At 37.1% G+C, this 15,186-nt stretch overlaps 1 protein-coding gene across 42 annotated transcripts in view; it reads left to right on the plus strand.

Moving 5' to 3' along the window:
- The window catches only part of CCDC7 (coiled-coil domain containing 7), a 439,541-nt gene that overhangs the window by 320,946 nt on the left and 103,409 nt on the right, over positions 1-15,186 (plus strand). For 38 of the 42 annotated variants that reach the window (XM_047425743.1, XM_047425742.1, NM_001321115.2 and 35 more), the window contains one exon: positions 14,708-14,815. The exons of the other annotated variants lie outside the window; for them this stretch is intronic. In XM_047425743.1, the coding sequence (XP_047281699.1) occupies positions 14,708-14,815 (108 nt within the window). The remainder of the gene's footprint in view (positions 1-14,707; positions 14,816-15,186) is intronic. 42 annotated transcript variants of the gene reach the window in all.

A 15,186-nucleotide genomic window follows, 5' to 3' on the forward strand; every position in this document is an offset into this window, starting at 1 on the left:
ATGAAGTACAAAGTATGGCTCATGAGAAGGTGCACTGCATTCCAAAAAAACTACATAATTTTTCTAATTTATTTAGACAGAAATCAGGGGAATATGTTTGGGAATCAATATTGCATGTATAGGATGAAGATGAAAAGAACAAAGTTAGATCACACCAAATTTATTGATATGGTATAATTTATTTATCACTAAGCAGAGATTATGGTTTAATGTTGCAGCATGGAGGTTAGAAAGGACTGTAACGGTCAGTTTGGTTGGCTGAAAATGGACCAAAAGATGGCCTATACTAAGTGAAGTTGAAATGCAGAATTGCCGTGGTTTACTGAAAAGGAAGGGATTCGAAGGCCTAGGAAAATTGGAGTGTTAATGTGGATTTATCATTTAAGATCTGCTCACCCATCTTAGGAGGGTCCAGAGGACACACCTTTCACCACAACTGTGAGAAATGTGAAGACAGCCCCAGCATTCTCAAACAGCCCTGTGGTTGCTCTTCTCTACAGCTCAGAAATCACACTGGATGTTGCTGCTACTGAAATGGGAACCTTAAATGCAATAGGAATAATTGGGTCTCAGAGGCCAAGTGGTGGCATTTAAACATCAGAAACAACAGTGTCATGGTTACCATAATGGAAATCAAAGTAGAAATCAGAATAGTCTGACTTGAGATATCTATGGCATTGGCTAGTTGATAATTGTGTTTGTTGAAGTGACACAAATGGTCAGTCTACTAAATTCTTACTTAATCTGTATAAGCAGAAGAGTTCTAGATCAAGTGGACAAAGTCTAATTTAAATAATAAAAGCACAGTCATGGCCTCTCAATCAATTCCCAGACTTGATCAAGTTTACAGACCCAGGACCCCTTGAAGGAAGGGTACCTTGAGGAAGGACCTAGTATACTGCCCAAAATTTATACCTTTAATTTTTCTCCCAGCCTTCCTCAAAGGGACCTATGGCCTTTTTGCTGGGTTACTACGCAACATATAAAAGGAAATAATAAGATTTTTTAGGGATTAATGGACAGTGCCTCTGAACTGACACTAATTCCAAAAGGCCAAAAATGTCATGATGGTCCACTGGAAAGGAAACTATGGAGGGCAAGTGATCAATGGGACTTTAGCACAGATCTGTCTCACAGTGGATCCAGTGGAAGCTGAACTCATCCTCTTGTCATTTCCCCAGTTTGTGAATGTATAATTTAATAAATATACTCATCAACTGGCAGAATTTTCACATTGGTTTCCTGACCTGTGGAGTAAGGACCATTATGGTAGAAGAGGCCAATTAGAAGCTACTAGAACTGATTCTACCTAGGAAAATTTTAAACCAAAAGCAATATTACATTCTCAGAGAGATTTGGAAGATTAGTGACTTCATCAAGGACTTGAAAAATGTAGAGGTTGTGATTTCAACCACATCCTTCAACTCACCTATTTGTCCTGTTCAGAAAACAGGTGGATCTCAGAAAATAACAGTGGATTATCATAAATTTAAATAGATGGTGATTCTAATTGTAGATACTGTACTAAATAATGATTTCATTGCTTGAGCAAATTAACGTATCCCCTGGTAACTGGCATGCAAATATTGATCTGGAAGATTGCTTTATTTTCTGCTTTCCTATAGTGAAGAAGCAGTTTTCTTTTAGCTGGAAAGTCTAGCAATGCATCTTCACTGTCCTACCTTAAGGGTATATCAGTTCTCCCACTCTCTATCATAATTTAGTTTGCAAGGAACTTGAAAGCCTTTCTACAAGATATCATACTTGTTTATTATATTGATGATATGCTGACTGGACCTCTTGAGTAAAAAGTACTCTAGATATATTAGTAAGATATTTGCATGTCAGAAGGTGGGACATGAATCCAAAAAATTTAGGGGCCTTCTACATCATGAAATGTTTAGAAGTCTAGTGGAATGGGACGTGTCAAGATATTCCTTCTGAAATAAGGAAAAATTGTTGCATCTGGCCTCTCCTACTACCCAAAAAAACAGGTATAATGCCTATTTGACTTCTCTGTATATTAAGGCAACGTATTCCTCATTTGGGCATGCTACTGTGGCTCACTCACTTACTGAGTGACCTGGAAATCTGTTAGTTTTGAGTGGAACCAAGAACAAGAGAAGGTTCTGCAACAGGTACAGGGTGCTCTTCCACTTGGGAAACATGATCTTACAGATCCAATGGTGCTGGAAGTGACAGTAGCAGATAGGGATGCTCTTCAGAGCCTTCGGCAAGTTCCTATAGGTGAATCACAGTGCAGGCCCCTTGGAGCAAAGCCATCTCATTCTCTGCAAATAATTATCCTTTTTGTAAAACAGTTCTTGGCCTGCTATTGGGTGTTAGTAGAAACTGAACACTTAACCATGGACCACCAAGTTGCCAAGCAATCTGAGCTGCCCATCATGAACTGGATGTTGTCTGACCCTCCAAATAGTTTGGCATGCAGGTAGTACTCCATCATCAAATAGAAGTGGTATACATGAGACAGTGCTCAGGCAGGCCCTGAAAGCACAAGTAAAATATATGATGTGGCCAAATACCTATGGTCTCCACTTCTGCTACATTACCTTCTCTCTCCCAGCCTACTCTCTTCAGTACCCCTTTCAGCAATATGAGGTTAAAACCAGGTACTGTGATTACTCGCTTGATTTCTGGTTCTTGTGATGGTGCTTTTTCCATATTGTTAGTTGTTAAAATTTGATGTTTCTGTAAGGGGGATGAATAGTGTAGACTTCCATTCAGCCATCTTGCTCCAATTCTGCCAGGCTCTTTTCAACAACCAGATCTTGCAGGAACTAATACTAATAGAGTAACAACTCACTCATTACTGTGGAGAGGGCACCAAGCCATTCATGAGAAATTTTATCCCATAGCCAACACACCTCCCACTGGGCACGTGTCCAATATTGGTGATCAAGTGTCAACATGAGATTTGGAGGGGACACATATGCACACCATATTACTTTTCCATTAAATTTTTGTTTGGCCACTGTTCTGGGGATTGTAAGAGATATGTTATATTCATACTACGTTTTGCCTTTTACCTAATTTTTATACACTGGTCATGTTAAATGTGATTCTTTGTCCAAATGAGATATATTTCAGGGAGCCAAGTGGTATAAAATGTGTTTTTCTAAACTATTGATTGTATTTTCTGCTTTGGCTTCTTTTAGAAGCAATTAAAAAACCAAAATAGAACAAGTATCTATTCCTTTAAAAATTTATTTGTGAAGTGGAGGCAGAGCAAGATGGCTGAAAAGAATGCTCCAGGAGTCATCCTCCTCTCCTCCCTGCAGGAACATCAAATTGAACAACTATCCATACAAGAGAGCACTTTCATGGAACCAAAAAATCAGCTGTCTGAAGAAGGATGGGTACGAGCAAGTCCAGACTGCAAAGACGCATAAAGACCTAAACTTTTCAATGCCCAGACATTAACAAATGTCCACAGGCATCAAGAATATATAGGAAAATATAACCTCACCAAACTGATTAAATAAGGCATCAGTAACCAGTTCTGGCAAAATGGAGATATGTGACCTCTTAGAGAATTTAAAATAGCTGTTATGAGGAAGCTGAATGATCTTCAGATAACATAGAGAAGGAATCCAGAAATATATCAGAGAAATTTAACAAAGAGATTGAAGTAATAACTTTAAAAACACCCAGAAATTCTGGAGTTGAGAAATTCAATGGACATATACAAAAATGCATCAGAGTATCTCAACAGCAGAAGTGATCAAGTAGAAGAAAGGATTACTGACTCAAAGACAGGCTTTTGAAAATACAGAGAAGAAAAAAATGGAAAAGAATGCAGTATGCTTACAAGATTGTATGGCTATTTAAATAACATTATTTAAATATTACAAGTATGTATTTAGTACTTGTATTTAACATTACAAGTATGGCTATTTAAATAACATTAATTCCTTTCTTTCATCAGTATTCTGTATTTTTCCTTGTAGTGGTCTTTCTCCTCCTTGGTTAAATATATTCCTAAGTATTTTATTTGTAGCTATTGTAAGTGGGATTGCCTTCTTGATTTAATTCTCAGCTTGTTAAGGTATACAGAAATGCCACTAATTTTTGTACATTGATTTTGTATCCTGAAACTTTACTGAATTTGTTTATGAAATCTAAGAGATTTGGAGAAGTCTTTAGGTTTTTCTAGATATTAGATCATATTATCAGTGAACAAAGATGATTTGACTTCCTATTGTCCTATTTTGATGCCTTTTATTTTTTTCTCTTGCCTCACAGCTCTGGGTAGGACTTCCAGTATTACGTTGAATAGGAGTGGTGAAAGTGGGCATCCTTGTTCTACTTCTTAGAAGATTGCTTTTAACTTTTGTGTGTTTAGTACGATGTTGGCTGTGGGTTTGTCATATATGGCCTTTATTATTTTGAGGTATGTTTCTTCTATACCTAGTTGACTGAAGATTTTTATCCTGAAGAAATGCTGAACTTTATCAAATGCCATTTTTAAATATGTCGAGATTATCAAAAGTGTTTTGTTTTTAATTCTCTTTTTGTGTTGAATAACATTTATTTATTTGCATATATTGAACCATCCTTGAATCCCTGGAATAAACCCCACTTAATCATGGTATATTATATTTTTGATGTGCTATTGGATTTGGTTTGCTAGCATTTTGTTGAAGATTTTTTCAACTATAATCAGCAGAGGATTTTGGTCTGTAGTTTTTTTGTGTGTCCTTGTTCAGCTTTGGTAACAGGGTGGCTTCGTATAATGAATTGTAGAGGATTCTCTCTTTTTATAATTTTTGGAACAGTTTCAACAGGATTGGTACCAGTTCCTCTTTGCACATTTGGTAGAATTTGGCTGTCAATCCATCCAGTTCTGAGCTTTTTTTTTATTGGGAGATTTTTATTACTAGTTCAATCTTACTACTCCTTATTGGTCTGTTCAGGATTTCTGTTTCTTCCTGGTTCAGTCGTGGAAGGTTGTATGTTTACAGAAATTTATCCATTTCCTCTAGGTTTTTCTCTTTGTGAGCATATAGTTATTCATGTACTCTGATAATCTTTTTAAATTTCTGTGGTATCAGTTCTTATGTCTCCTTTTTCATATCTGATTATGTTTACTTGGATTTTTTTTTGGTTAGTCTAGATAGTGATTTATCAATTTTTAAAAATCTTTTCAGGGAACTGAGTTTTCATTTGGTTGATCCATTGTATTATTATTATTATTTCTTTTTGAAATTATACTTTAAGTTCTGGGATACATGTGCAGAACGTGCAGTTTTGTTACGTAGGTATACATGTGCCATGGTGGTTTGCTGCACCCATCAACCCGTCATCTACATTAGGTATTTCTGCTAATGCTATCCATCCCCAAGCCCCCCACCCCTCAACAGGCCCCAGTGTGTGATGTTCCCCTCCCAGTGTCCATGTTTTCTCATTGTTCAACTCCCACTTATGAGTGAGAACATGCAGTGTTTGGTTTTCTGCTCCTGTGTTAGTTTGCTGAGAATGGTGGTTTCCAGCTTTATCCATGTCCCTGCAAAAGACATGAACTCATCCTTTTTATGTCTGCATAGTATTCCATGGTGTATATGTGCCACATTTTCTTTATCCAGTCTATCATTGATGGGCATTTGGGTTTGTTCCTAGTCTTTGCTATTGTGAATAGTGCCGCAATAAACATACATGTGCATGTGTCTTTATAGTAGAATGATTTATAATCCTTTAGGTATATACCCAGTAATGGGATTGCTGGATCAAATGGTATTTCTGGTTCTAGATCCTTGAGGAGTCACCACACTGTCTTCCACAATGGTTGAACTAATTTACATTGTATTATTTTTAAGTCTCATTTTCATTTAGTTCTGCTCTTATCTTTGTTATTTCTTTTCTTCTGCTAGTTTTGGGTTTGGTTTGTTCTTGTGTTTCTAGATCCTTCAGGAGCAACGTTGGGTTGTTAACTTGTGATATTTATATTTATTTGATGTAGGCATTTAATGTTAACTTCTCTCTTAGCACTGCTTTTGCTGTATTCAAGAGGTTTTGGTATATTGTATCTCCATTTTCACTTGTTTCAGAAAATTTTTAAATTTCCATCTTAATTTCGTTATTGACCCAAATATCATTCAGGAGCATGTTGTTTAATTTCCATGTATTTGTATAGTTTCAAGAATTCCTCTTGGAATTGATTTCTAGTTTTATTCTTTGTGGTCTGAGAAGACACTTGATAAGATTTTGATTTTATAAAATTTATCAGGATTTGTTTTGTGGCCTATTATATGGTCTGTCTTGGAGAATGTTCCATGTGCTGATGAGAAGAATGTTTATTCTGAAGATCTTGAATAGAATTTACTATAGATACCCATTAAGTTTATTTGTTCTAGCATGTCATTTAAGTCCGTTGTTTCTCTGTTGACTTTTTGTCTCAAAGATCTTTTGAGTGTTATCAGTGGTCTATTGAAGTCCTACTATTATTGTTTTGCTATCTTATGATGCTAGGAGCTCCAGTGTTTGGTACATATAAATTTAGGATTGTAATATCTGCTTGTTGAATTGATCTTTTTATCATTATGTACTGACCATCATTGTCTTTTTTTCTTTTTACTGTTGTTGCTTTGAAGTATTTTGTCTGATACAAGAATAGCTACTCTTGCTCACTTTTGGTTTCCATTTGTGTACAATACCTTTTTAATTCCCTTTTCCTTGAGTTTATATGAATCCTTCTATGTTAGGTAAGTCTATTGAAGACAGCAGAGATTTGGGTTGTGATTTTTTATCCATTCTGAATATTTTAAGTGGATCATTTAGGCCATTTACATTCAATGTTAATATTAAGATGTGAGGTACTGTTTTCTTCATCATGTTAATTGTTACCTGATTTTTTAAATTGTGTTTTTATTTTATAGGCCTGTGAGTTTTCAGCTTTCAAGAAATTATATTTCAGTGCATATTGTGCTTTTGTTTCAAGGTTTAGAATTCCTTTAATATTTCTTATAGGGCTGATTTGGTAGTGACAAATTTCCTCAGCATTTGTCTGAAAATGACTTTATTTCTTCTTCATTTATAAAACTTAGTTTTGCAGGATACAAAACTCTTGGCTGACAGTTATTCTGTTTAAGGAGATTGAAACTTAGTTTTGCAGGATACAGTATTCTTGGTTGACAGTTATTCTGTTTAAGGATGTTGAAGATAGTTTCCCAATCCCTTCTGGCTAATATGGTTTCTGCTGAGAAATCTGCTGTTAGTCTGATAGTTTTTTTCTTTTTAGGTTACCTCATGCTTTTGTCTTACTGCTTTTAGATTTCTTCTAACTGCCCAGTGAAGTTGCCACATTCCAGGCTGCTGATGGGGCATGTCTGCAAGGTGATATGACCTGTCCTCAAGTTTTCCAGTAGTGGGTACCAGCACCAGCTTTAATGGGGGTGGCAGGAGAGTCACATAGACTCTGTGAAAGTACTTGGTTATTGATAGCCTCAGTGTGTTGGCTTTTTTGAACACCAGTTAAGAGTAGTAATGAACTGGTCCCACAGGCAGACTAAGGACCTCCTGGTTAGCAGAGTGGTGCAGGCAGTAGTGATAGCTGAGATCATGCAGCTATTTTCTTCTTCTTGGGTGCAGTGCTATTCTGCCAGGAGATACTGTAGTGGATTGTCTTGGCTGGCCTCCAGCCAGATGGCAGTGCTTCCAACTGTGGGAGTAGTAGTGGAATTTTTGCTTGCCTTATGTTGTCCAGGGTGGGGTACTCTGATTTCATAGGCAATGGGCAGGGCCATGTAGCTTTCAAGAGATTCTATCCTTTGTGTTAAGCCAGGATGTGTGGCAGGGCAAAGCCAGGTGGGAACTGGGTCTGGTGGGTTTGTACTCTGAGTCTCCCTGTGCAGGGCAAGCAGCAACCCCTGTGGGTGTTGGGGAATGGGAGTGGTCTCAGACCACTGGGTTGATGTTCCACAGGGGAGCATTGCTGCCTCTGCTATGCAGAAGAGTTTGTGCAGGGAGTGGGGAGTAGCAGGCAGTGGTAAGCCCCACATAGTTCCCACTCATTTGGTGAGGCAGATCCACTCCCACAGTGTTCCACTGACAGCAGAAAGCTGAGTCCCAGTCAGCCTGTAATCAGAACTCACAGCTACTGGGAGTCATAAACTTTCCCCAGGGAAATAGCAACCATGGCTTTTAGGCCACACTCCTCCCTGTTCACTGCAAAGCTAGGCACCCAGCTCTTGAATCCACAGCTACAACACTCAGGACTCCTGTACTCAAAGTCTGCTTTTCACTCTCCCCAACCATGGCCCTAGCCAAGAGAGTTTGTGTTATATTGTGAAACCGTGTTGGGAGCTTCTTTCAACCTGTGACCAACACCTGAACTTTTTGACTGTCGTCTGCAGGGTCCCCTGTTAAGATCAGTAAGGAATGGCTGCCCTTGGTCCACACTGGAATCTGGGAGTGCATGCAAGGATCATGCTGCTCCTACTTTTATATTCCATTATCCTCCCCAAGTCAGTTCCTGCACTGGGTGAGATTAGGGCCTTCCCTGGTGATATGGACTTTCAGGATCCCTGGTGGGGGTGTGTATGCCAGAGGCAACCTTCCGACCTCTCACATTCTGGGGACTGGGAGCCCTTCACCTGACTCGCAGTGTAGGCTGCAGCCTTTTGCTTCTTTCAAAGGGTCCATAGATTCCTTTGGTTTTCCTGTTCAGGTTCGGCATCACTTCTTGAAAAAAAGTTCACAGTGTCAATCTCATTATCCCATCTTCTCCTGATCTCCAGGGTTTCTGCTGAGAAATCAACTGAAAGTTGTATTAAGACTTCATTAATTTTGATATGTTTCTTTTCTCTTGCTACTTTTAATATTCTGTCCTTAACTTGTTAATTTGATTATGATGTGCCTTGGTGATTACATTTTGGCTTGAATTTGACTGGTGACCTGAGCTTCCTATACCTGGATGCTGTTTTCTGTCACCATGTTTGGGATAATTTCAGTTACTATTTCCTTAAATATGCTTGCTAGGCCTTTTTCTCTCTTCTATCATTTAGCAACTCCTATTATGCTGAGGTTAGCTTATTTGATGTTGTCTCGTAATTCTGATAGGCCTTCTTCATTGTTTTTTATTCACTTTTCTTTTTGCTCCTCTAATTGTATAATTTCATATGTTCTGTCTTTGAGTTCACTGATTTTTTTTCCTGTTTAAGTCTGCTGTTAAGCTTTTTTTGAATTTTTTATTCAATTTACATATTCTTTATTTTGAGAGTTTCTCTTTGGTCTTAAAAAATTGTTTCTATTTCTTGGTTAAATTTCTAATTTTGTTCCTGAATTGTTTTCCAAATTTCATTTAGTTTTCTATCTGTATTTTTTTGTAATTCCTTTAACTTTTAAAAGTAGATTATTCTGAATTATCAGCCATTTTATAGATCTTCAATTTTTCTGAGTCCATTACTGAAGGTTTTTTTGCTCTTTTTTGGTGGTGTCATATTTTCCTGAGTTTTTACAAGTCTTGATTTTTATGTTGATGCCTGCACATTGAGCTTTTGCAGGTGTTTTTGATAGTGTTAGGTCTTTATTGCTTAATACTAGAACTTAATTACTGGTCTGCTCTTGCTTCTGAGTCTGGGGAAGACTTATAGTGAGAACTGGAAATTAAATGGTGCACTGGAAATAAATCACTGCCCTGTTGTTTTCAAGTCTGTGGAAGACTTATAGTGAGCCCTGTAACTTAAACACTGCTCTAGAACTATGTTGCTGCCCTGCCATTGTTCTTCAATCAATTACAAAAACTATTAATATAAATAGTTTTTATTTTTAAGTGAGCACCAGAACTTAATTGCCAAACATGTTGATGTTTCCAGATCAAGAGGAGGCTTCACATGAATATGTGGATTTTGTGGGAAATCCAGCCAGGAATTTGGTCCTTCCTGTGGATTGTGTCTTCTTCAGCACTATGGGCCATCCACTTTACTCAATGTGGTATCTTCACTGATTGGAGCACAGAACACCTACAAAAATTCACATGCCAGTCGATGCAATTAGAACCTTCCCCTTTTTTTTTTTTTAACCACAGTTCATCCCAGGTGGTTCAGTCCTCCCTGCACTTTAAATGTTCCATGGGACAGGACTGGAGTGAGCTTCCTGTGAAGATTCTATAACCAGCTGGGAGACTGAACATTCACCTCCAATTTCCTCCTCCCACACTGGGAACCATGTGTCTAGGGAAATTCTGTGAGTGGTGTTAGCCCTGCTTGCAGGAGGGGGTGACACCCTTAAAAGTGATTATTCCTCTTACCAGCATCAGATTTTCTTGATTCTGTGTGTCCAGGAAGTTTCTCCACTACTCCCTTGAGTTTTGGTGAATTCAGGATGGTATTCTTGTCTTTGAATAATTTCTAGTTGTATTTTTTTTCTAGGGGAAGTGATGCTGGGAGATCTTCTAGTCTGCCATCTTGCTTACACCACTCTGTGATTTTCCTGGTTATTTATCTTTTAGGTTTATTTGTGATTGTTGCAGTTTCTGTGCTGGCTTCTCATGCTGGTTGGATTATTATTAATTTTTGAATGGGAACTTCTAAATAATAAAGTGGTTAGTGGAATGTATATGTGTGGTAGATTGATGGAGGATGAGATTTTGTGGGAAATGGATAGATTCTGTCCAGGTTTGGTATCATATTATTAAATCTTTTGTTGTTGTTGTTAAAGAAGCTATTGCAACTCACATATGTGTCTTTTGTCTGTTGCAGTTTTGCGCTATCTTCCTCCCTCTGTTTTTAGCCATTTTTACTGTCAGCATTCCTAACTTCTATTAGGAATCTCTGTCTCAAGCAATAGAAATGGTCCATCAGTGTGGTTTCTTCTTCAACTCTCCTTTCTTAGGACCCTAAATATGATTACTGCTATAAAGGCATATTAGGCATGCCTTTCAGTGATGACACTTTGGAGGAAAACCTGTGTACTGTTATAGGTTCAAGACAGCATGACTATTATCTCTTAGTATTCTCCAAAGCCTTGTGCCAGATTTCATGACAGTACTTTTAGTATCAGAGGGCTATGGAAATTTTCTTACTTTTTTTCTTTTGTTTCTGGGAGTTTTATAGGAAAAGTGAGGGCAAAGGGGAGCTTTATTCTGCCATCTTCTTAAGGATATAAAAATAGAAAATAACCAGAGACTTTGCAAGATTACTGTATGACTTTCTGACGTTGAGTACTTTGAAGATTACTAAGAGCACAAGTTTAAATACCTATAGTAACTATCTGTTTTTAGAAAAAAACCGTAATGCTCTAGATCTCCAAAGTGATTTGGTGAGGAATAAACCTATATACTATATAATCCAAAATTGCTTTTCCATGGTCCTAGATCATAGAGAGATACATTGGTGGGTAAATTATCATATTTTCGAAGGAAATATACCAGTGATTGGCCCTTAAATTGCACCCATATATTAGAATTAATCCCTTTCTAAAGACAGATAATTTTTTTGTAGTACTAGCTGAAGATTTGTCCTTCACACATGAATATATGTCTTAAACTATCTGCAAATATTTTGAAATTTTGAAAATTATCATGCTGCTATAAAGACACATGCACACGTATATTTATTGCGGCATTATTCACAATAGCAAAGACTTGGAACCAACCCAAATGTCCAACAATGATAGACTGGATTAAGAAAATGTGGCACATATACACCATGGAATACTATGCAGCCATAAAAAATGATGAGTTCATGTCCTTTGTAGGGACATGGATGAAATTGGAAATCATCATTCTCAGTAAACTATCGCAAGAACAAAAAACCAAACACCGCATATTCTCACTCATAGGTGGGAATTGAACAATGAGATCACATGGACACAGGAAGGGGAATATCACACTCTGGGGACTGTGGTGGGGTGGGGGAATGGGGGAGGGATAGCACTGGGAGATATACCTAATGCTAGATGACGAGTTAGTGGGTGCAGCGCACCAGCATGGCACATGTATACATATGTAACTAACCTGCACAATGTGCACATGTACCCTAAAACTTGAAGTATAATAAAAAAAAAATCTAGATTTCTAGCTTCTTTGGGGAATTTAGAACACCTGAGAATATCTGTCATGCATTTGTAGTGGTAAGAATAATGGTTTTTTTTTTAATAGAACAGGTACTTCTCTATTTTACCTTGCTCTTTATGCTATCCCTATCATCACCAGGCTCATTACACTCATATAACATACTCAGTCTCAGTAGACATTTGGGTTTATTAGTTGGAGAACAGATTTTGGAAACTAGAAGAATCAATTCATTCCAGGTTTTTATACTTAATAACTATGTGGCCTTCCACAATATGCATAATATCAATAAGTTCTATTTCCCTCATCTGTTAAATGGAGATAAAATACTTATTTTCTTCAATTATTATAATGATTAAATGAGATAATACTTCAAAAGTACTTAGTATAATCGATGGCATATAGTAGCTATTTTGTATGAATTTGAAATTATTTAACATATTTGTATTCAATTGAATAATTAGTATGTTAAATTGCAAAGTAAATAAGGTTAGATGATTAGATGATTGGGAGGTAAAATATCTGTAATTAGTACTATGTACTATACTTCTGCCTCAAACAAAATGTTAGGGTTTTTTTGTTGTTTTTTACTATGTGTACTTTTTTTTTACTTTTTCAGCTTCTATCTTAGAAGCAGCTGGTACACATGCAGATTAGTTACAAAGTCTGTTGTGTGATGCTGAGGTCTGTGGTATGACTGAATGCATCACCCAGATAGCATAATACCCAAGAGGTCATTTTACCCCTTCTTCCTCCCCCTTTTAGTATTCCACAGTCTCTATGTCTGTGTTTACCCAGTGTTTATCTCCCACATATAAGGGAAGAGATGCAGTATTTGGTTTTCTGTTTCTGCATTAGCTCCCTCAGGATAATGGCCTCCAGCTGCATCCATGTTGCTGCAAAAGACATGATTTTGTTCTTTTTTATTGCTGTTTATTATTCCGTGGTATATATGTACCACATTTTCTATATCCAGTTCACCATTGATGAGCACCTACGTTGATTCTGTGTCTTTGCTATTATGAATGGCACTGTGGTGAACGTATGGATGCATGTGTCCATTTGGTAGAACAATTTATTTTCCTTTGGGTATATAGCCAGGAATGGGATTGCCGAGTCAAATGGTATTTCAACTCTTGGTTCTTTGAGAAATCTCCAAACTGCTCTCCAAGTGTTTAGACTAATTTACATTCCCACCAACAGTGTGTACATGTCCCCTTTTCTCCACAGACTTGCCATCTGTTTTTATCTTTTATTTTTTAATAATAGCTATTCTGGGCCGGGTGTGGTGGCTCATGCCTGTCATCCCAGCACTTTGGGAGGCCAAGGTGGGTGGATCACTTGAGATCAAGAGTTCGAAACCAACCAGGCCAACATGGTGAAACCCCATCTCTACTAAAAATACAAAAAAAAAAAATTAGCCAGGTATGGTGGCATGCGCCTGTAATCCCAGCTACTCTGGAGGCTGAAACAGGAGAATCGCTTGAACCTGGGAGGCGGAGGTTGCAGTAAGCCAAGATCGTGCCACTGCACTCCAGCCTGGGTGACAGAGTGAGACTCCGTCTCAAAATAATAATAATAGCCATTCTGACTGGTGTGAGATGGTATCTCATTGTGGTTTTAAATTGCATTTCTCTGATGATTAGTGATGTGGAGCATTTTTTCATATGTTTCTTGGCCACTTGTATGTCTTCTTTTGAGACGATTCTGTTTATGTCCTTTGCCCCACTTTATAATGGAGTTATTTGTTTTTTGCTTGTTGGTTTAAGTTCCTTATAGATTCTAGACCTTTGTTAGATGCATAGTTCATGGATATTTTTCTCTTATTCTATAGGTTGTCTGTCTAATCCGTTGATAGTTCCTTTTGCTGTGCAAAATATTTTTAGTTTAACTAGATCCCATTTGTCAATTTCTGTTTTTATTGCAATTGCTTTTGAAGAGATAGCCATACATTCTTTGCCAAGGCTGATATTGAGAAGGGTATTTACTAGGCTTTCTTCTAGGATTGTTATAGTGTGAAGTCTTACATTTAAATCTTTAATCCTTCTTGACTAAATTTTTGTATATGATAAAAAGCAGGGGTCCAATTTCATTCTTCTGCATATGGCTTGCCAGCTATCCCAGCATCATTTATTGAGTAAGGAGTCCCTATTGCTTATTTTTTCTGGGATTCTCAAAGATCATATGATTGTAGGTATGTGGCTTTATTTCTGGGTTCTCTACTCTGTTCAGTTGGTCTATGTGTCTGTTTTTGTACCAGTACAATGCTGTTTTGGTTACTGTAGCCCTGTAATATAGTTTCAAGTCAGGTAGTATGATGCCTTCAACTTTGTTCTTTTTGCTTAGGATTGCTTTGGCTATTAGGCTTCTTTTTGGATTAATATGAATTTTAGAATAGCTTCTCCTAATTCTGTTAAAAATGACATTGGTAGTTTGATAGGACTCCACTGAACCTGTAAATTGCTTTGGGCAGTATGGCCATTTAATGACATAGATTCTCTCAATCCGTTAGCATGGACTGTTTTTTCATTTATTTGTGCCATTTCTGATTTCTTTTGCAGTGTTTTTGCAGTTCTCGTTGTAGAGATCTTTCACCTTCTTGGTTACATGCATTGCTAGGTGTTTCACAAAATGTTAGTTTTTTAAATCAACTACTTTGACAATCTGTTATTCTTACAGTTAAAAATGAAGCAGCCTCAGAACTTCCAGATACAGCAGAAAATCTTCCAGCAATGTACCCGTCAATTAGCGACCTAATAATTCAATTTGATTTAAACAAAGTGGTCGGTAAGTATAGATTTATGTTTGGATACAGTAGAACACAATCTAAGAATTAAAATATTTCAACTGTATAGTTCTGTTAAAAAACAGGAAATTCAAAGAAGGAGTAGTCTTTCTCAACTTAAGTTCATTCTACTCAATCAATCTACATGTCAATTAAGTGTATCTTTAAATTTCGTGTTTTTACTCCATCAGACAACATTAATTTTGTAATGTTTCATATATTTCCCTTTACCTACTCATGAAACAAAATACATATAGGCTTTCCACTACTGTGAATTTTCATAAGATAAACTAGATGATATGTGAACAGTTCCTTGAGGACATAGTTGTAATTTCTTATACCATCTTTTGTATAACAAGATGGAAAGACAAAT

The sequence above is a fragment of the Homo sapiens genome, chromosome 10 (assembly GCF_000001405.40).
Source record: "Homo sapiens chromosome 10, GRCh38.p14 Primary Assembly".
NCBI classification, from domain to species: domain Eukaryota; kingdom Metazoa; phylum Chordata; class Mammalia; order Primates; family Hominidae; genus Homo; species Homo sapiens.